The 22,752-nt window shown below is 40.9% G+C and overlaps 1 annotated feature.

Annotated features, from left to right (window-relative positions):
- Positions 20,439–20,733: a silencer, noted in NCBI's record as "tiled region #15244; HepG2 Repressive non-DNase unmatched - State 12:CtcfO". NCBI's record gives its function as "represses a minimal TATA promoter and a strong SV40 promoter by Sharpr-MPRA in HepG2 cells {active_cell/tissue: HepG2}" and the evidence as "EXISTENCE:reporter gene assay evidence [ECO:0000049][PMID:27701403]".

Here is a 22,752-nt window from a genome sequence, read left to right on the forward strand (position 1 = left end):
GGTGTGAGATGGTACCTCATTGTGGTTTTGATTTGCATCTCTCTAATGACCAGTGATGATGAGCTTTTTTTCATAAGTTTTTTGGCCCCATAAATGTCTTCTTTTGAGAAGTGTCTGTTCATATCCTTTACCCACTTATTGATGGGTTGTTTGTTTTTTTTCTTGTAAATTTGCTTAAGTTCTTTGTAGATTCTGGATATTAGTCCTATGTAGATTCTGGATATTAGTCCTTTGTCAGATGAATAGATTGCAAAAATTTTCTCCCATTCTGTAGGTTGCCTTTTCACTCTGATGGTGGTTTCTTTTGCTGTGCAGTAGCTCTTTAGCTTAATTCGATCCCATTTGTGCATTTTGGCTTTTGCTGCCATTGCTTTTGGTGTTTTAGTCATGAAGTCTTTGCCCATTCCTATGTCCTGAATAGTATTGCCTAGGTTTTCTTCTAGGGTTTTTCTTGTTTTAGGTCTTACGTTTAAGTCTTTAATCCATCTTGAGTTAATTTACGTGTAAGGTGTAAGGAAGGGGTCCAGTTTCAGTTTTCCACATATGGTTAGCCAGTTTTCCCAATACCATTTATTAAATAGGGAATCCTTTCCCCATTTCTTGTTTTTGTCAGGTTTGTCAAAGATCAGATGGTTGTAGATGTGTGGTGTTACTTCTGAGGCGTCTGTTCCATTGGTCTATATATCTGTTTTGGTACCAGTACCATGTTGTTTTGGTTACTGTAGACTTGTAGTGTAGTTTGAAGTCAGGTAGCATGATGCCTCCAGCTTTGTTCTTTTTGCTTAGGAATGTCTTGGCTATATGGGCTCTTTTTTGGTTCCATATGAAATTTAAAGTAGTTTTTTTCTAATTCTGTGAAGAAAGTCAGTGGTAGCTTGATGGGGATACTATTGAATCTATAAATTACTTTGGGCAGTATGACTATTTTCACAATATTCACTCTTCCTATCCATGAGCATAGAATGTTTTTCCATTTGTTTGTGTTCTCTCATAGTAAATTGCTTTCTTACATACATATCAGCAATAAATAAGTAGAATTTGAAATTTTAAAAAATCATTTATATTAGCGCTCAAAATGAAGTACTTAGATATAAATCTAACAAAATATGTACAAGAACTATACTAGGAAAATGACAAAACTCTGATGAAATAAATATTAAAATATAAAAAAATAAAAAATATAAAAAAGAATGTTCATAAATAGACTAAATTGTCAATATTTCAGTTCTTCTCAATTTAAACTATATATCCAATGCAATCCTAATCAAAATCCAGCAAATTATTTTATAAATATTGGAAAACTAATTATAAAGTTTATATGGAGAGGCAAGAGACACAGAATAGCCAATACATATTGAAGGATAAGAACAACACTGGGGAATTGATACTACTTTCCTTCAAGTCCACTATAAAGCCACAGTAATAAAGATAGTGTGGTATTGTTGAAAGAATAGTCAAATAATAGATTAATGGAACCAAATACAGAGCCTAGAAATAGACCCACATACATGCTGTCAACTGACCTTTGACAAAGAAGCAAAAGCAATACAATGGAGCAAAAACAGTCTTTTCCACAAGTGGTGCTGAAACAACTGGACATCCACACGCAAAACCATGAATCTAGATACAGACTTTACACCATTTACAAAAAGTAACTCAAAATGGATTATTGACATAAATGTAAAATGCAAAGCTATAAAACTCCTAGAAGACAGCATATGAGAACATCTCGATGAGCTTGGATATGGCAATTACTTTTTAGATATAACACAAAGAAAGAAAAAAGTTGAACCCCATTAAAATTAAAAACGTCTGCTCTGTGAAACACACAGTTAAGAGAATGTGAAGACATGCCACAGACTGGGAGAAATATTTAAAGAACTGCTATTCAAAATATACAAAGAACTCTTAAAAGTCAATAGAAAAAAACGAACAACCCAAATAAAAAGTAGGCTGAAGACCTGAATGAACACTTCACCAAATAAGGTACAAAGATGATACACAAATGGGCATATGAAAAGGTTTTCAACACCCTATGTCAGCAAAGAATTAAATATTAAAACAATGACATACTACTACATACTTATTGGAAAGGCTCAAATTCAGAACACTGACAACATATCAAATTCTGGTGAGCCTGTGTAGCAACAGAAACTCTCATTCATTGCTGGGGGGAGGGCAGAAAGGTCCAGCCACCTTGGAAGACAGCTTGGAAGTTTTTTACAAAATTAAACATGCTTTAACCATATGATCCAGCAATTGTACTTTTTAGTGTTTTCCCAAAGGAGCTGAAAAGTTAATATCCACGCAAATATCTGTGTGCAGATGTGTGGATATTGACTTTTATTCATAGTTATCAAAACTTGGCTTTATTCATAGTTGCCCAAACTTGGAAGCAACCCAGATGTCCTTCAGTAGATGAATGGGTAAATAAACTATGGAACATCCAGACAACAGAATATTGTTTAGCACTAAAAAGAAACGAGCTATCAGGCCGTGAAAATACATTTAAGTAACTTAAATGCATATTACTAAGTGAAAGAAGACAATCTGAAAAGGCTGTATACTGTATAATTCCAGCTATATGACATTCCGGAAAAGGCAAAACCACAGAGACAGTGAAATGACGAATGGTTACCAGAGACTTAGGGGAGGGAGAGAAAGATGAATGATGGAGCACAGAGCATTTTTTAGGGCAGTGAAACAACTCTGTATGATACTGGAGTGGCAGATACATGTCACTATGCATTTGTCAGAATGCTACAGCACCGAAAGTGAGCCCTAAGGTAACCTGTGGACTGGGTGGTAGTGATGTGTCAACATAGGCTTATCAGTTACAGCAAATGCGCTGCTCTGGCGGGGGACGTAGATAATGGCAGAGGCTGTGAGTGAGGGGGCGGGAGATACATAGAAAACCTCTGTATCTTCCTCTCAATTTAGCTGTAAACGTAAACCTATTATTTAAAAAGTCTTTAATGAATAGTATTTGTAACAGCTAAAAAACCCTCTCTGCCACTGAGCAGTATTTCCTTTTACCTACAGCAGCCATTCTGAGGTCTGGCCTCAAGGCCCAACCTGTCCAGCTCATCTCAGATTGTATTATCCTTCGCCTCACTGGGTTTCCTTGGTCATCTCAGCATTTGCGGTGCCCGCAGTGTCTTTCCTGGTTTCCCTCCAGGGTTCTTCCTTGCTTGGAAAGCTTGATTCCACTTGCACCATCCTGATTCTGCTTATCCTTCAATGGTAACTCTCACATGACATTTGTTCCAACAATGCTGTGACTCTGTTTTATATCATGGCTCTCCTTCCCTGTCCTCCCTCCCTCCCTCCCTCCCTCTCTGCCTTCCTTCCTTCCTTCTCTCCTTCCCTCCCTTTCTTCTCTCTTTCTCTTCTTCCTTCTTTCCTTCTTCCTCCCTTCCTTCTTCCCTCCATTCTTTCCTTTCTTCCTTCCCTGTTTCCTTCCCTCCTTCTTCCTCCCTTCCTTCCTCCCTTCCTCCCTCTCCCTCCCTCCCTTCCTTCCTTTCTTCTCTCCTTCCCTCCTTCCTTTTTACTTCTTTCTCCCTTCCTTCTTCCCTCCATTCTTTCCTTTCTTTCTTCTTTCCCTCCTCTTCCTCCATTCCTTTCTCCTTTCCTCTCTCCCTCTATCCCTCTCTCCCTCCCTCCTTCTCTCCCTCCCTACACTCTCCCTCCCTCCCTCTCTCCCTCCCTCTATTCTTTCCTTCCTTTCTTCCTCTCTTCTTTCTCTCTTTCCCTCCTTCCTTTCCTCTCTCCTTGCCTCCTTTCTTCTTTCCTTCTTACTCCCTTCCTTCTTCCCTCCATTCTTTCCTTTCTTTCTTCCTTCCTTCCTTCTTCTTTCCTTCCTCCCTCCCCACTTCTTTGCTTTCTTCCTTTCATTTTTCCTTCCCTCCCTCTCTCCCTTTCTTCCTTTTGTTCTTTCTTTCTTCTATTCTACCTACCTTCAGAAAATGCTAGTTGAGCTCCCAGTGTGGCTAGCACTTTGTCAGACACATAAAGACATGGGCAGAGACATAGAGGAGCTCTACCCTTGTGGAGCTTGTGGTCTGGCTGATCTAGGCAGATGTTAAGTACATAAAAGTATAGAATTACAAATGGTTATCTGGATGAAGAAAAAATAACAGGTAACGTGAGGTCACAAAACTTGGCCTAGTCTGAAGGTCAGAGTCAATTTCCTGGAGGAAGAGCAGCTTGAGCTAGGACCTTGAGGAAGCGCATGAATTAAGCACTTGAAAGGGAGGGGAAGGCCTTGAGGAAAGATGATCCCAGCACATTTCTTCAATTCATTCATTCAATCATCTGCACATTCATTCCACACAAATCAATGTTCACCATCCTTGAGAAACACTGGAGGGCCTGTGACAAGGCTGAGGCTGATGGAGAGGGAGGCAGATCCTGCAGGGCCTTGCAGGCTGAGTTTAGGATTAGCGAATAGATAGGACGTGCAGTAGAAAGACACTGCCAGATTTTAAGGGGGTCGTCTCAACACCAGAAATGTGTTTTGAAACAACGTTATCTTGGGTTGTGGGTTCCTCAGAAGTAGGCTCTGAAATGGAGAATGCACGTGGAAAGTTTATTAGGATCCTGAGTCTTAGGATACTGGAATCTTGGGATCAACACCTGTGAAAGGGAAGGTATGGGAAGACAGCAGCATTGGGCAGACAGAGGAGCTGAGCTGTAGTGCAGTCTCAAGGGGAAGCCCCAGTTGACCCCATGGTATGCGTTGGACCTGGAATGTCCCTTTAAAAGTGTCCCGAGTTAGGATGCAGGGGCTGAACCCCATGTCCATAAGCCCTTGGATGGAGCTGAGCCTGCAAAACATCTGACCCTGAGCACAGCTCTTTAGCAGGAGCACAGGGGAGGAGGGTGTCTGCAGCAGCACTTCCAGCAGCTGTGGGAAGAAGCCCTTTTCAAGGGAGATCTAGACGGTGCATCCAGCATCACCACAGACACTGGTGTTAAAAATCCACCCTTGCTTGTGTCCTTCCTGACCATTTGTTTAGTTGTGGTCACCAGATTCTCATACAACATTTAGTTATTGGCTGGCCTTCCTTCTTTTCCTTCTATTTAAACTTATGTCTCCTCAAGTGGATGGGCCATATCTTACATTGAACTGTGGAATGCATCCCATGGAATTCAGCCCAAGGCTACTAGATAATTACTTGGTGACAAATGCATTCAAGTTCTGACCCAGAGCCACAGACTAAGAAAGTAACTGCTTGCAATTACTTGTTGAATGATGGATGAGCAACAAACTTTAGCAATTTTCCAACAAGTGACAGCTTTTTATAATATGTTTTTCCTATAAGCTGTAGAGGAAAGAGTTGCTGTATCCTGGGTTGAACCTACCAGGTCCCGTGTTTCCATTTTGTCCTCATCCATTAGCTCCAAAATATTCCAGAAACACAGAAAACTTACATTGACTGTATACAGTCATCAGATACAAAGACATATCAGGATCTAAGAACACAGAACATTATTCTGTTGGTCAATTAATTTAAAATGAAACCTTCCAGAAAATCAACTCTCTTTAAGGAACTGGTAGAGACCACTCCTGTGTCCCTCTACATTTTTTTCAGTCTTTATTAACCGGAGTTTCATAGTTCTTCAAACATGCTTTGACAATAGCACATTTCCTTAGTGTCATATTCTAGTTACCTACTCTTGACTTTCTGAGGCTGAGAGTGTTTCTTTCCCTTGGCCCAGTTCAGTGACTCAGCAGATTACCAGCACATAAGGCCTCAAAAAAACAAGGTCAAAAGAGGCTCCTAGGAGAGGGCAGTGCTGGCTGCATGTGTCTGGTGTTTACTGTGCTATTTCAGGCCCCTTCAGCCTCTGCCACATGGGTGGGATGGAGGCATTTAAGACAGGACTGCAGTAGATGTAGATAGTTCTCACCTACATGCCCATTGCCTTCATTGTGTCCACACCTGCAGATGGCTTCTTGCTACAAGAGCCACCAGACCTTCAACCTGCTGGCTTTCCCGGGCTGCAAGTCCTCTGACCGGCCTGTGTGATGGACTGGCTAAAAGGACCAGAGTTAATGCCTGGGAATAGCCTTTGATCGGTTATGGCTGAAAATAATAATTAAATATTCAGGTCCCCTGACTGTTGAGTGGGACAACTCTGCAGAGTGTTATGAACATCATAACCCCAGGTCTCCGTGGGATTAAGCTCCAGGTGTCCACAATGGCAGCTTGCTTGACCCCACGCTCTCCTGACTTCTCTCTCTCACTTCCCCACTCTCCTGCTGGTGCTTCCTGGAGCTCCCAAACAAACCAGGATCTGCCTCTGGAGAGCCCAGCCTAAGACAGAGGCTGTCTTGATACCTTTACATGGCCTAGAGATTATAACCTGACCCTATCTGTGCAGAAGCCCTTCCATGTCTCATCCATAGATGGGAGATGCTTTGTGAAATTCTGTTCTGTGGCTCCAAATGAGTACTCACCCTTCCTTTGAGAAAACAGACAAAATGCAACCCCCATTGTGACACCTACCTGTACTCTATGATGTCTTGAGGCATGCACTTACAGAAGGTGCATGGGCATCGTTCTACCTCACCTCTCTAAAAATGCACCTGTGGGCTGCTGACTCCATGTTATTATTTTCTAAAGCATAACACAAAGCAATAAGATTACAGTGTTCCATCACCAAAATCCAGCTTACTCATTTCCTGGGCACCATGGTCCCGGGCATTATGATATGTCTGACTAAGAAAGTATAAGGAGCAAACTTGGAAGAGCCAGAATATTTTGCAAGGGCACCTCTCTAAGCAGCTTACACTTCGGGGCTGGATAGGGAAAGCTGTTTACAAAGCATTCATGAGAAACCCAGCACTGTATTTCCAGGTTCTGAACCCCAGAATGCTCCACACATATGTAGGGGCTGCCTGAGTGACAGCTTCACCTGGGGTTGGGCTGGAGGGACCTGGAGCCCCATCAACATGGCCATTTTTGTTGGACATTCTGCTGACCCAGCTCACATGGGCAGGACTGACAGTGGAAGGTTGGCTTCTTCTCTCATCTTCTGCCAGAAATCTGTCAGGATTTCCTTGCTCTGTAAGTTGAATCTAGATCCTTAGAAAATTCAACCTAGATGGAAGGATAAAGGTGCTTTATTTCTGAATAAAAAAAGTTGAAGGGTGATCCAATGACATTTTTCAACAGGGAATACTTATTGTACAGATGGTGACCAGCTCTTCCTTTCACTGAGTCAGGGCAGTCATGGGGACTGGGCTTAAACACAGGTTGTCCAGATAGGAGGCTCTGCTGGCCCTGGAATGAGAGCCTAAGAGATCTATCAGCATTCTTTTTTTTTTCTCGGAGTCTTGCTCTGTCGCCCAGGCTGGAGTGCAGTGGTGCGATCTTGGCTCACTGCAACCTCCGCCTCCTGGGTTCAAGCAATTTTCTGCCTCAGCCTCCCAAGTAGCTTGGATTACAGGTATTTGCCAACTCGCCCAGTGAATTTTTGTATTTTTAGTAAAGACTAGGTTTCACCATCTTGGCCAGGCTGGTCTTGAACTCCTTACCTCGTGATCCACCCGCCTCAGCCTCCCAAAGTGCTGGGATTACAGGTGTGATCCACCACGCCCAGCCAAGAGATCTATCATCTTTCCTAGAGATGTGAGTTGATGAATAAGACTGGTACTTGTCTATCTTTTAGACTTTGGTTAATAGACTGTTCTCCGAGGTGGACCATAGCATTAAATGGAAGCTTGTTGCACTATCTGGAGAAATGTTTGTCAAATAGAATATTTTAGGGTGTATGTGTATGGGTTAAATTCAGGAAATATGCACCACCATAAATATTTATGAAGCTATTAGGTTAGTGCAAAAGTAAAATAATGGCAAAGACCGCTATTACTTTTGCACGAATCCAATATAACTGAAACATCCTGTTGTTTTTCCTCTTCTATCTCTGAAACACACCTCCTCTCCATCCTTAGTGACCCCTTCATGGTGATGTCGGTGTGTTTTAATATCTTCAGGAGTCCCTCTCCTCTCCTAATGGCTTTTTCAACAGCCAGACAGCAAGACCTAAGCAGGGCCAGGCCATCCTTGTAGGCGCCCCTGTGTCCTAGGGTGCCTGATAAGTGCTGGCTGCTGTGAGTTACTGAGTAACACCTTGTATTTTGTCAACAATCTGGGTAACAAGCTCACCCAAATTTTAATGAAAACACATTTACAATGTGTGAATTGTGTTCATTTTTAAAGCTTGAATTGTATCCATTTTAAACCTTATTCTATAGCACAAGTAACTGCCACTTTGAGTTGTATAACTTTAGATGGGCCTTGTGATTTCTGAGCCCAGGAACAAAATGTGTGTAACAGGAGTGATCAGGCTTGCCTAATAACTTTATGAGAATTAAATAAGATAAGGAACATGAAACCACTCCATCGAGTATACAGTAGGGGTATTTTAATTTTACTTTAATTAAAGGAATTAAAATGGGATATGAAATGTATGAAATGAAGTGGATTGCTGCAGAATAGCTCTGACAACAGGGACAGGCATGTTTGGGAACACTGTCTCAGTCCCCTCTTCTAGGTCTGCCTCCTGCAAGAGCAACAGCTGGGCTTGGCCGAGGCCAGGCAGGTACTATCCATTACACTTTACTGTTAAGGCTTTTCAACAGCTATTGAAGGAACTGACCCACTGTAATGTCAAGTTTTCAACAACATAGGAAGAAAATAAAGAAATGCTAAGGAAAAATTGTTTTTGCTGCTTATAAATAAAAGTACAAATTGATATTAGAAGAAAAATGCTATAATAGATAACGAAAAGCTTTAGTGAGTATTAAAAAGGAAAAAAAAAACAAGGTGTAAGGAAGAAAGAGCTAGGAGAAAGCAGGCTGAGCTCATCAGGCCTGCTGTGGTAAAGATGTAAAAGTTTGCCATTTTGAAGAATAAAAATATGACTTTATGGTTTATATCCTGAAATCATATGCTCTATTACACCATCAGTTTCTTTCTCACTGAGATGAGTGCTCTTTTTCCTTACAATAAGTACATTTTTCTTTTTATTTTTACTAGGATCCAAGACTTCAAAGAAAACCTATAAATTTAATAAAGTTTCTCCTGAAACCTACAACAAAGAAAACAATGACAAAGGAATTGCCCACAATTCTGTGACTCCCAGTGAATACCACAGAAGAGATGGCCACACTGGGCTCTGCTACCAGTTTTTAGAATCGTGAGACAATGCAGTAGTAGAAAGAAAACTAAGAAAATCAAGTTTCTGGGCTGCTATCTGCCTGTTTCAAGCCTCAGATTTTGCAAATATCTATTTTATAGAATCAGCAGAAGCAAGCCAATAATGTCTTTATGCAGTCTACTTGAAAGCAAAAATAACAAAGACGCCAGTCAATACTTTGAAAATGATGTTTATACTAGCCTGGGACTCATTGTTTGCTATGTTTATTAATACAACTAAACAAGAAATCCTCTCCACTTAAAGGCAGCACAGAGAGGATTTCATGTTGAAGAAATGCCCACAGTAGTGACAGTACAACTTGCAGAGGACTAAGTCATCTTTTCTCACATGCTGAGTCCTAACACCTAATTATCAGCTAACACCATTTCTGATGTTTTAGCATAGAAACCTTTATTATCTTAACACTGGATGCTAATAAGACATTGTTAATTTCTAAAACAAACAAACAAACATGGACCTAAAACCTGACTTCCCTAGGAAATAAAAACCCTTTCCTTGAACACCACAGACTCTACAGAGTACAAAGTGCTAGCAAATCATAAGCATTCCCTTATAAATATCAAGATCAATATTGAAGTAGCTCAGGATTGTACTTGACAGGATTTGAGCTTTATTGGTGGAATCTTAAGGTCTCCCACAGTGGTTTTTGGTGTTGATAAAGTTGGCATTTATTTATGACTTGAGTCCTTGCCTGGGGGCTGCAGTCAGAAGCAGCAGGATTTTGTCTAAAGCCAAAGACTTCCTTCATCCTCAGAAAGGAAGCAAGGAGCTGTTTTTCCTCTTCTCATTTGTCCTGCAACTGTGAATTTGTCTCTGGGGCTCCGCTCTGTTGACTTTAGAGAAGCTATGCATACACTTGGTCTCATTCTACTCTAAGACTAAACTGCAAACACAAACCACTCTATAAATTGGGAGATTAATTTCTTTTGAGAAGGCTCAACTAAAGTACCAAGTCTGCTTGTAGGAATAACCTTTAAAAATCAAACAAGCAATTTATAAAAGTCAGAAACCATACCCGGAAGGGTCAGTGTTCTGTTTTGTCTTTAATAGAAAATGCCCCGGATCTGGCAGAAAAAAGCCTTCAAAGGGCTCCCATTATTCCGAGGATGTTTTTATGGCAACATGATCAGCTACATTTCCAAACCTTCATGAAATGATGGCAGGTGGTCTTTCTAAGTAATCTTCAGCACATTCTCTGTTTGCTGAATTACCAGTAGACCCATGCAAGGGATTTTGGACAAAGAGCCATTTCTCATCTTGAATTACTCAGAAATGGAAAATAGTACCTTCTGTTCCATTTTTTTCCATCCGTGCCATCATTCACACGTGAAGTCGAGGGAATGCTCACCTGCATGTTTCATGGTGGAGCTAAGGACCTTGGAGGTTTATTTGCAGCTCCTTAAATAACAAAAACACTGAACCTTTGCAAATAACTCTACAAGCAGCTCACTGCCAAATAGCAGCCACTGCGCTTCTAAGCAGTGAGATGCGTAGATGATGAGAAGGGGCTTCCCTTGCCCAGAATACCCACCCCAACTGCTGTCTCCCATATGGGGGCCCTTCTGCTTCTGGCTCTCATCTTACTTTCCTCCTATCCCTCCTGCCACTCCTCTCCTCCTTCTCTGTTCTCCCCACTCCACCCCTGATGGCTCTGGAAAGGAGAAGTATCAACACAAGAGGGCACAGCTGATGGGCAGGGAGAAGGGACTCCTCCTGACACACAGCCATGGGCCTGGAAGATTAAGTCAGGCCCAGAAATACCACCCAGGAGATTGGAGTGGATTCTACGGGGACTCCCAAATGGGCCCTAACTGAGAATGTCAGAAAACTTGAGTGATCATATCATTTAAAAGGAGTGCCCTTAATAAGTCAACTGGGGTAATGGTTTCATAAACCTGGGCATCCCTCAGCAAAACAGCACAGACAGGGGCTCCTGGGTGGGAAGGGTATGTGGTATTAGAAAGAGCCCAGATAGGGGAGCTAGACAGCCTGGCTCTGTCTCTACCTTAGACTCTGAGACTGTTATTGACAAGAAAGAAATGCTGCATGAGATCACAAGAGAAAATTTTAGAGAAGTGAAACGTAATACAAACACAAGGCACAGCTCTAGAATTTTGCTACAGCCAAAGTCCTGGATAGTAGGGCTGGGAGCAAGGTGGCTGGATGGAGTTGGTTTTACAAGAATCACAAACATCTGTCAAAATGTGACTGAATATGGGGCCCTAAATATGTAAATTAAACACGTAACAAGCCACAGAGCATGGGTGGCAGCCTGCCTATGTGCACTGTCTACACAAATAGGCTTACTCAAATGGGAAAAGCATGAGATGGCAGCGAGCTCATTGGCAAAGTGACATCTTGAAAGTGATTATGCAAGAATACCTGGACATCCGGCCTGTCACATCCTCATCACCACAGCAACAAGAGCTGAACTTTCTCAGGCGCCTAACATGTGCCTCACACGTGCCATCTCATGTAATGGGGCAGGATGGAGTCACAGAGCCAGGGACATGATTGATTCTAACAGGCAGTGTGATCAGGTTCTAGGCTTGCTCCCCCAGTCCAGGTGGGCAGTGGAATCCACAGTGGGACATTCACAGGGACATAGCAAGAGCAGCTGCTCTGGAGGAAGTGAAGAGGCCAGCGTCCCTGGTCCAAGGCAAGTCAGGAATCAAGGAAACAGAAGGAAGAGGGTTTCTCAGGTGTGCAGGGGAGGAGCTGTCCGTGCGTAGGTTCCTGTTCATGTTCAGCTTCTGCAATTGCAAGGCACTCCTGACTTTCCTGGGTGGCACACAGTTTTTTGTGACCTATTAGCAATGAAGTGGAGGAAAGCAAAATTGGAGGTAGACCCTGGGTTACTAGCACTGGCTATGCCTCAAGTTTACTTTTGTGACCTCAGGCAAAAGCTTCGTGGTGCATTTGGAATCAACTACTCTTTCCCTGAATTTATAGATAGGGAGGCTGTGTGTGAGCAGTCATTGGCTTCTCTTCTAATGTCTTGTGAATCGTGTCATCACAGATTGGTGTGGATGGAGACCTAGCAATGAGCACTTGCAAAGGGTGTCATGAAGAACCAAGAGCTCAGCCTTGCTCTGTGATAACTACTAACTTCACTTTTTCACTCTTATTTTTTATTTCAATAGAGACAGGTTATTGCTATGTTGCCCAGTTGGTCTTAAACTCCTAGGCTCAAGCTATCCTCCTGCCTCGGTTCATTTTGCACTTCATGAGTCAGGACCTTGACTTTAAGTTGTAACTTCAGGTGCACAATAAAGTGAAGTTGAAAAGACTGAGCAAATGATGAATGAGAGAAAAGATCCACTATGTGGATCCTGGTTTTCATTCTTATCAACCACAGTTGCTGAAAGGAAGCATCGGTAGAGTTCTCGACAGACAGGGATGTTCTTCCAGACGTGAGTTCAGAAAGGACAGTGTTGTGGGTTGAATGCTATCCTCCTCAAAAAAGGCGTTGAATCTTGACCCTCCAGAACCTCAGAATTTGATCTTATTTGGAAATGGGGTCTTTACACAGGTAATTAAATTAAAATGAGATCATTAGGGTGTGTCCTAACCCAGTATGCTGTTGTCCTTTTAAAAAGGGGAAATTTGGGTACAGAGACACACAGGGAAGATGTCATGAAGACACACAGGGAGAAGGTGGCCATGTGACTAGAGTGATCGGTTTACAAAACAAAGAATGCCAATGTTTGCCAGCAAACATCAGAAGTTGGAAGAGGAAAGGAAGAGTCCTACCCTAGAGTTGTCAGAGAAAGTGTGACCCTGCCAGCACCCTATGGGACTTCTGGCCTCTGGAACTGTGAGGGACTACATTTCCACAGTGTTAAGCCTCCTGGTTTTTGATACTTAGTTAAAGTGGCCCTAGGAAAGTCATACAGAGGGTCTCCCCGGGGGCCTTCACCCACTCAGAGCTCTATGCCTGTGAACTTGGGACAGTGGTGAGCACTGGGAGCAGCCTCATGGGAACGAAGATGCTACAGAAGGCAGCCTCGGGTGCATCTTTCTGTGGCAAGCACAGCCTGAGATGGAACTGCCCGGGTACAGTGCAGGGCTTGGGGACCTCTTGAGGGGACAGGAGCACCTTGGGCCTCTTTGGCACCAGAGGGTGCACCCATCCTCTCCCCAGCAGGCTGCTTGCTGAGTCAAGCCCACAACCTGATATCATGTACTCAGGGAATGAGCATTCCCATGTTTGGTTGATGCCATTTCATTTATTATACTTTAGGGAGGCTTCCTAAAACACTGCACAGGACTCATGTTTACATATACGTACTTACACACAGAAAGTATTTTGGGGTAGAAATACCTTTGAATGAGAGCCAGCTTCTACTCCAGTACTGGTCAGTCCCTTACAAGCCGTGTTACCACAGGGAAGGAACTTGAGGTCTTTGGGCAGTTTCCTCACTCGTAAGTGGGAGAAATAACCTCTCAAGTTTGGTTTGAGATTTAAAACAAATTGTGCATATAACACCAGCATTGCAGTTTTTAAAGGAAGCAGACCTGTGTGATATAATTGTAAGTAAGATCTTGAGATTCAAGTGGCAAAATATTTGACTGTCATAAAATTCTATTACCTCTCTAAGAAATGTAAGCCATAGAGTTGGAGGATTAGTGAGATTTATGTGACAGCACTTGGCAAACCATGATGTAAAGAAACATGAATGTGTCTCTGTGTAACCACTATACTAGCATAACTTGCAATATTCTCAATTTCACTAACACCTATCCACTAAAAATTTGATTTCAAAGCAAAAAGACACACTTTGCCAGTTGGAAGACAGTCTATGTGTGGGGATTTGGGGGACTACATAGTATATATTATGTGATTCTTGAAGTTGTGTGGTTATTTATTTATTTATTTTTGCTTAACCTTGTGTAATCATGTGCAATTTAAGAGATTTCAGATAAATTTGGTTTTTCACATTAAACTCTAATTAGGTTAGGATTGATAAGCATTTAGCAGTCTCAGCTCTTTCCAGGATTTTAATTTCCTTTAGCATTTATATGGTGCCTATCAAATAAAGTACACTTGACATCTAGGCTTGTAAAAGAGAAGCTCATTTACTGGCATTCTGTGCTTTAAACACACACGCGCACATTAATAATGGCAGAATCTCCCAATCACCTCTTCTTCCCTTCAGTCATAGGGCGTGGATACTGGACCAGCAGCTGTAATTGCATGAGCTCTTTGTAGACCAATAAAGCCATAGCCACTGTGTGCATTTATCTAGAGAGGTACAATGAACACGGCTGGGCCTTAGCTGGTGTTGTGTAGGATGTGTTGATTATTCCAAGGACAATGTCCTGATTTTGCCCTGGGAACGTAGGATTGTAGAGCCCTGCTACAGAATGTAGGGGATTTAGATGCGGTTCACATTCAACCATTGCCCAGTTTGTGCCTCACTTCTTATTAGATGCCTTCTGGAATACCCACCTGGGGAATTTCTTTGTTCTTCAGATTTTCTAACAGGGAGGGGGCCAGTCTGCTTCTCTGTGCCATGTTCTTACCTCACACTGTCCCAAACACATTCCCCAAAGGACACTTTAACCCCCATTAGGTATTGTCACCATAGAGTTTTAACTGCCTCCCTCTTCCTCACATGAATTTCCCATTCCACTCACTTTTGACAGGAGTCCACGCAACTATGTGCAGGCATTTATAATTCTGGTAGGAAAAGGACACCAATGCAGGACACAGGGGATATAAACAGAACAGTATATGTAGGAGAGAAAATATTTTCTAAGTACCACTTGAATGTAGAAGCATGAATCAATCACACACTAAGGATGAAGGATGCAGAGATACCACATCTCTGCATTTTTTCTAAATCGAATGAAAGCTAATTTTACTCTAATATGTTCATTTTGCTCTCTGAGGTTGTTCATGAGCATCAGGAATTCAGGGCCCTATAAGGGGCATGAGTTCATGGTTGTCATGGTGACAATTGCTGACAGCATCTCCTTCCCTTTAGACATAATCACGGCCTTGAAAGTGGGTACTGCTGCACCTACTCCTGCCGAAGTCCAGCAGGAGTGGCTCATGCTCTCTGACCCCATCCTGACCACAAGGAAGTCTGGAGTGTTCCCAAGATAGTGGCTTTTCCCAGTCCTCACCTGCCCGTGAAGCCATCTCCCCTTCAGGCCGTAGTACATTGACCTTCTTCACCTTCAATAGCACAAACATTCCATTTCTGCTTGAGCCAACCCAGCTTTATTCTCCAAGGGCCCATGAGCCTGCTGAGATAGCTAAAAGTTGTTAACCTCTTGTTGCTTGCAGAGACTGAGCCTTAGGTATAGACTGTGGTGGGTGGGAATAATTCCATTCTAAGTGGTCTTCAAGGAACAAAACAAACCCAAGTGAAGGACTTCTGGATTCAGCTGCAACATGCAAAGAGCTTGGAAATCACCACTCCCACCCTTATAACAAGAGAAGGCTGAACACACCGAAAATCAACAGTGCTTCTTTGACCCATTAAAGAATTGAGGTCACAGGGCAAACCCTCCACCCTGAAATGTGAAGAGGGAGGCACACCCAGGAAGTCACAGCCAAGATATGCTTACCCGAAGCAGAAGCTGCTGGAGTAGTAAGCTAGGAGGACACTTAAGTGGTCATTTTGATTGGTTGCTGGAGGCTGAGTGTGACTAGACTAGACTAGAGTAAGAAGCTCCTGGGGGCCACAGACTTAGGGGATCCCTATACTTTCACGGGTTTTACCTCCAGGGGCCCCACCACTTGAGTGAAAAGCCAAGAAAAACCCACTTGTTTCTGACAGGAAGTAGGGAAAGTAAGCATTGAAAATACACCTACAGATAGAGGCTTCTCCCTAACAAAGACCAACACAGCAGAGGGAAATTCTTTACCAGAGCAGCATATAACCTCAGGGGGAGGGAAGTTTTCCAGTTCCAGCCCCCTTCAGCATGTCTCATCTAAGTGGGGAAGAGGAAACACTAAGAAGCCCATATGAAGTCACATCCAGGGCATAGGCCTAAAGGACTGAGATTTAATCATAAGATTATAAAACACTCCTCCTCCCCAATACTTTATCACCACACCAAAAGAGCTCTATTGCAATAACAGTGGCTTATAGTTGAAATGCTGCAAAGTATAAACTGTATTTAAAAACAAGTTCTTAGGGAAGCCCAAAGATAAGAGAAAAGGTATTGGGTAGTGATAGTATAAGGATATCCATAATAAATAACAGCAACCTTATAATGGACAAGAGGAGGACACTGGGGTTACTCTATTATATGGTGCACTACATGTGAAATGATATGGTGTTATTTGAAAGTGGATTTAGATTGTGGTAAATGCATATTGCAAACTCTAAGGAAACTACTTAGAAAATCAAAAACAAAGAAAAAGTCTTAAAAAAAGCCGGAAGAAAAAGGATACCTTACATATAGAAAAACAAGGATCAGAATTACACTGGACTTCTCTTTAGAAACTGTGCAAGCAAGAAGAGAGTACAGTGAAATATTCAGAGTGTTGAAAGAAAAAATATCCACCAACCTAGAATTCTATATCCAACAAAATTATCCTTCAGCACGAAGGATAAATACTTTCTCAGACAAATAAAAAATCAGAGAATGTCACTGATCATTAGAGAAATGCAAATCAAAAACACGATGAGATACCATCTCACATCAGTCAGAATGGCTATTATTAAAAAGTAAAAAAATAACAGATGCTGGTGAGGTTGTGGAGCAAAGGGAATGCTTATACACCATTGGTGGAAGGTAAATTAGTTCAGCCACTGTGAAAAGCAGTATGAAGATTCCTCAAAGAGTTAAAAACAGAATTACCATTCGACCCAGCAATCCCATTACTGGGTATATACCCAGAGGAATATAAAGAATTCGACCATAAAGACATATGCACATGAATGTTCATGGTGGCACTGTTCACAATAGCAAAGATGTGGAATTAACCTAAATGCCCATCAATGACAGACTGGATTAAAAAAATGTGGTACATATATACCATGGTATACTATGCAGCCATGAAAAAGAATGAGGTCATGTCTTTTGTGAAATGTGGATGGACCTGGAGACCATTACCCTTGGCAAACTAATGAAGGAACAGACAACCAAATACTGCATGTTCTTACTTATAAGTGGAAGCTAAATGATGAGAACTCATGAACACAGAGAAGGAAACAACAAACACTGGGATCTACTTGAAGATGGAGGGAGGGAGGAGGGAGAGGAACAGAAAAAATAACTGAAATGAAATAATCTGTACAACAAATCCCCAGGACATAAGTTTATCTATATAACAAACCTTCACACATACCCCCAAACCTGAAATAAAAGTTAAAAAAAAAAATTAGAGGTTGTATCACTAGCAGACTTACTCTGCAAGAAAAGTTAAAACAATTTCTTTAGAGGAAAAAAATGACATAGTCAAATACTAAGATCTACGTAAAAAGGAGCATCAGAGAATGAATAAATCAAGATAAAACAAAATCATTTATTTTTCTTATTCTGAATCTTATTCTTATTTGTTCAAAGTAATACTAGCAACAATGTGTTGGGTAGTTATATAATATGGATAACTGAAATGAATAACAGCAACATTATAATGGACCAGAGGAGGAAATTAGGATTACTCTGTTATAAGGTGCCTGCACTACCTGTGAAGTGGTACAATTTTATTTCCAAGTGGATTTAGATTGTTGTAAATGTATATTACAAACTCCAAACAAATTACTTATAAAATTTTAAGAGAATTATAATTTGTATGCTAAAATAGAATTATTTAAAATCCTTAATCAAAACAAGAGAAAGAAAAATCTGAGGGAGAACTTTAAAAAGGAACCAAGAGCAAATGGAAGAATAGAAAGTAATTTTTAATTCAGATATATCAATAATCAGTTTACATATGAGCATTCTACATACACCAATGAAAAGACAGAGACTCAGAATGAACTAAAAACCATGATTCAGATAAATAGTGTCTACAGGAAACCTTTAAATATAAAGTCTCAGGTTTTAAGTGAAGAGACAGAGAAAGATATGTCATGCTACCTATAACATGTTATAAAGATATAACATGCTAATCCAAAGAAAGTGGGAGTAGCTATAGTAATTTCAGGCAAAATAGACATAAGAGCAAGGAAGATTATCATGGACTAAAGAGAGTCATTGCCTAATGATAGAGGGATCAATTCTTCACAGATACATAAAAATCCTGCTATGCATGCTTCCAACAGGATACTAAGATATTCAAGGCAAAAGCTGATAGAACTACAAGGAGAAATAGACAAATCCAGTATTATTAGTTGGAGACTTCAATAACTCTATCAGCAATAGACAGACTCAGAAGGCAGAAAATCAGTGAGGGCATAGTTGACCTGAACAGCACCATCAGTTATACTCTGTGACCTTCTTTCTGCACAGGCAGGGTAAAGGAAGAGAACAGAGACTAGGACAGGGTTTCCTCATGGCCTTAACTGACTAATTAGTAATGTTTACATTTAAAGAAGGTGAGAAGGAATGTCCCTAAACACAATAAAGACCCTATGTGACAGGCCCACAGCTAACATCATATTCAATGGCAAAGAGTTTAAGGGTTTTCATTTAAAATCAGGAATAAGATAAGGATGCTCACTCTCACCACCTTTATTCAATTGCCCTAGACAGAGCAATTGGCAATAATAATAGCAATAATAGGCACCCAAACCAGAAAGAAAAAAGTAAAACTGTGTCTTCTCTGTTGGCAAGTGACATGATTCTAAATACAGAAAAGACTAAAGATGCCACCAAAAAAAAATCACATTAGAATTAATAAAAGAATTCAGTAAGTTGCAAGATAGGAGACAACATACAAAACTCAGTAGTGTTTCTATATACTAACAATGAACTCTGAAGAAGAAATCAAGAAAACAATCCCATTTACAATAGCATTTGAAAAGCCTTAGGAATAAATTTAACCAAGGAGGGTTACACCTTGAAAACTTAAAACATTGATAAAAGAAGTTGAAGAAGATATACATAAATGGAAAGATATTCTTGTTTATGGATAGGAAAAATTAATATTGTTAAAATGTCCATGTTACCCTAAGCAATCTACAGATTCAATGCCATCCCTATCAAAAGGCCAATGACATTTTTCACAGAAATAGGAAACAATTATAAAATGTGTATAAAACCACAAAAGACCCCAAATAGCCAAAGTAACTATGAGCAAGAATGAAGCTGAAGGTATTACACTTTCTAATTTCAAATTATATAACAAAGCAATAGTAATCAAAAAGGCATAGTACTGGCATAAAAACAGACACATAGACTAACAGAACAGAATAGAGAGCTGAGAAATAAACCCACACATTCATGGTCAACTAATCTTTGACAAGAATGGCAAGAATACACAATGGGGAATGGCTGATCTCATTAATAAATGATTTTAGGACAAGAAGATGTCCACATGCAGATTAATGACATTAGACCCTTATCTGACACCATGCACAAAAATCAACTCAAAATGTATTGAAGAATTAAACATAAAGCCTAAGATTCTAAAACTCATAGAAGAAAACAAAGGGAAAAGATCCTCAACATTGGTTTGAGCAATAATTTTTTAGATTTGACACAAAAAGCACAGACAGAATAAGCAAAAATAGACCACTGGGACCACATCACACTAAAAAGCTTCTGCACAGCAGAGGAAACAATCGACAAAACGAAAGGACAACCTATGTAATGGCAGAAAATATTTGCAAACCAGATATCTGATAAGGGATTAATATCCAAAATATATAAGGAATTCATACAACTTAGTAACAAAAAAGATTTAAAAGTGGGCAAAGGACCTGAATAGACATTTTTTTCCCAAAGAAGAATACAAATGTTCAACATATATATGAAAAGATGCTCTACATCACTATCATCAGGGAAATGCAAATTAAAACCACAATGAGATACCACCTTATACTTATTAAGACGGTATTATCAAACTGTCAAAAGATAACAAGTGTTGGTAAAGATGCAGAGAAAAGGGAATCCTTGTGCACTATTGGCAGAAATGTAAATTGCTACAATCGCTATGGAAAACAGTATGAAGGTTTCTCAAAAAGTGAAAAATAGAACTACAATGTAACCCAACCATCCTACATTTGGGTAAATATCTTAAGGAAATAAATCACAATCTTAAAGAGATATTTTACACTCATGTTCATTGCAGCATTATTCACTGTAGCTAAGCAGGAAAGAAGTGTCTGTCAACAAAGGAATGGATAAAGAAAATGTGGTATACATATATAAAGAAATATTACTCAGCCTTGGGGGAGGGACGTCTGCCATTTCTGAGACTTGAGTAGGTAAACAAAGCAGCCAGGGAAGCTCGAACTGGGTGGAACCCACCACAGCTCAAGTCCTGCCTGCCTCTGTAGATTCCACCACTAGGGGCAGGGCATAGCTGCAGAAATCTCTGCAGACTTAAATGTCCCTGTCTGACAGCTCTGAAGAGAGTGGTGGTTCTCCCAGCATGGTGTTTGAGCTCTGAAAATGGACAGACTGCCTCCTCAAGTGGGTCCCTGACCCCCCTGTAACCTAACTGGGAGACACCTCCCAGTATGGGCTGACTGACACCTCATACAGCCAGGTGCTCCTCTGGGACTAAGCTTCCAGAGGAAGGATCAGGCAGCAATATTTGCTGTTCTGCAATATTTGCTGTTCTGCAGCCTCCACTGGTGATACTCAGGCAAATAGGGTCTGGAGTAGACTTCCAGCAAACTCCAACGGACCTGCAGCTGAGGGACCTGACTGTTAGAAGGAAAACCAACAAACAGAAAGGAATATCATCAACATCAACAAAAAGGACATCCACACCAAAACCCCATCTGTAGGTCACCAGCATCAAAGACCAAAGGTAGATAAAACCACAAAGATGGGTAGAAACCAGAGCAGAAAAGCTGAAAATTCTAAAAACCAGAGGGTCTCTTCTCCTCCAAAGGTTCACAGCTCCTCACCAGCAACGGAACAAAGCTGGACAGAGAATAACTTTGGCGAGTTGACAGAAGTAGGCTTCAGAAGGTCGGTAATAACAAACTTCTCTGAGTTAAAGGAGGATGTTCAAACCCACCGCAAGGAAGCTAAAAACCTTGAAAAAAGATTAGATGAACAGCTAACTAGAATAACCAGTGTAGAGAAGACCTTAAATGACCTGATGGAGCTGAAAACCATGGCATGAGAACTATGTGATGCACGCACAAACTTCAATAGCCAATTCGATCAAGTGGAAGAAAGGGTATCAGTGATTGAAGATCAAATTAATGAAATAAAGTGAGAAGAGAAGTTTAGGGAAAAAAGAGTAAAAAGAAATGAACAAAACCTCCAAGAAATATGGGACTATGTGAAAAGACCAAGTCTACATTTGATTGGTGTACTTGAAAGTGATGGGGACAATGGAATCAAGTTGGAAAACATGCTTCAGGATATTATTCAGGAGAGCTTCCCTAATCTAGCAAGGCAGGCCAACAATCAAATTCAGGAAATACATAGAACACCACAAAGATACTTCTCGAGAAGAACAACCCAAGACACATAATTGTCAGATTCACCAAGGTTGAAATGAAGGAAAAAATGTTAAGGGCAGCCAGAGAGAAAGGTTGGGTTACCCACAAAGGGAAGCCCATCAGACTAACAGCAGATCTCTTGGCAGAAACTCTACCAGCCAGAAGAGAGCGGGGACCAATATTCAACATTCTCAAAGAAAAGAATTTTCAACCCAGAATTTCATATCCAGCCAAACTAAGCTTCACGAGTGAAGGGGAAATAAAATCCTTTACAGACAAACAAATGCTAAGAGATTTTGTCACCACCAGGCCTGCCTTACAAGAGCTCCTGAAGGAAGCACTAAACGTGGAAAGGAACAACCGGTACCAGACACTGCAAAAACACGCCAAATTGTAAAGACCATCAAGGCTAGGAAGAAACCGCATCAACTAACGGGCAAAATAACCAGCTAACATCATGATGACAGGATCAAATTCACACATAACAATATTAACGTTAAATGTAAATGGGATAAATGCCCCAATTAAAAGACACAGACTGGCAAATTGGTTAAAGAGCCAAGACCGCTCAGTGTGCTGTATTCAGGAGACCCATCTCATGTGCAGAGACACACTTAAGCTCAAAATAAAGGGATGGAGGAAGATCTACCAAGCAAATGGAAAGCAAAAAAAAGCAGGGGTTGCAATCCTAGTCTCTGATAAAACAGACTTTAAACCAACAAAGATCAAAAGAGACAAAGAAGGCCATTACATAATGGTAAAGGGATCAATTCAACAAGAAGAGCTAACTATCCTAAATATATATGCACCCAATACACAAGCACCCAGATTCATAAAGCAAATCCTTAGAGACCTAGAAAGAGACTTAGACTCCCATACAATAATAATGGGAGACTTTAACACCCCACTGTCAATATTAGAGAGATCAATGAGACAGAAGGTTAACAAGGATATCCAGGACTTGAACTCAGCTCTGCACCAAGTGGACCTA

Source organism: Homo sapiens, chromosome 20 (genome assembly GCF_000001405.40).
Source record: "Homo sapiens chromosome 20, GRCh38.p14 Primary Assembly".
Taxonomy (NCBI): Eukaryota; Metazoa; Chordata; class Mammalia; order Primates; family Hominidae; genus Homo; species Homo sapiens.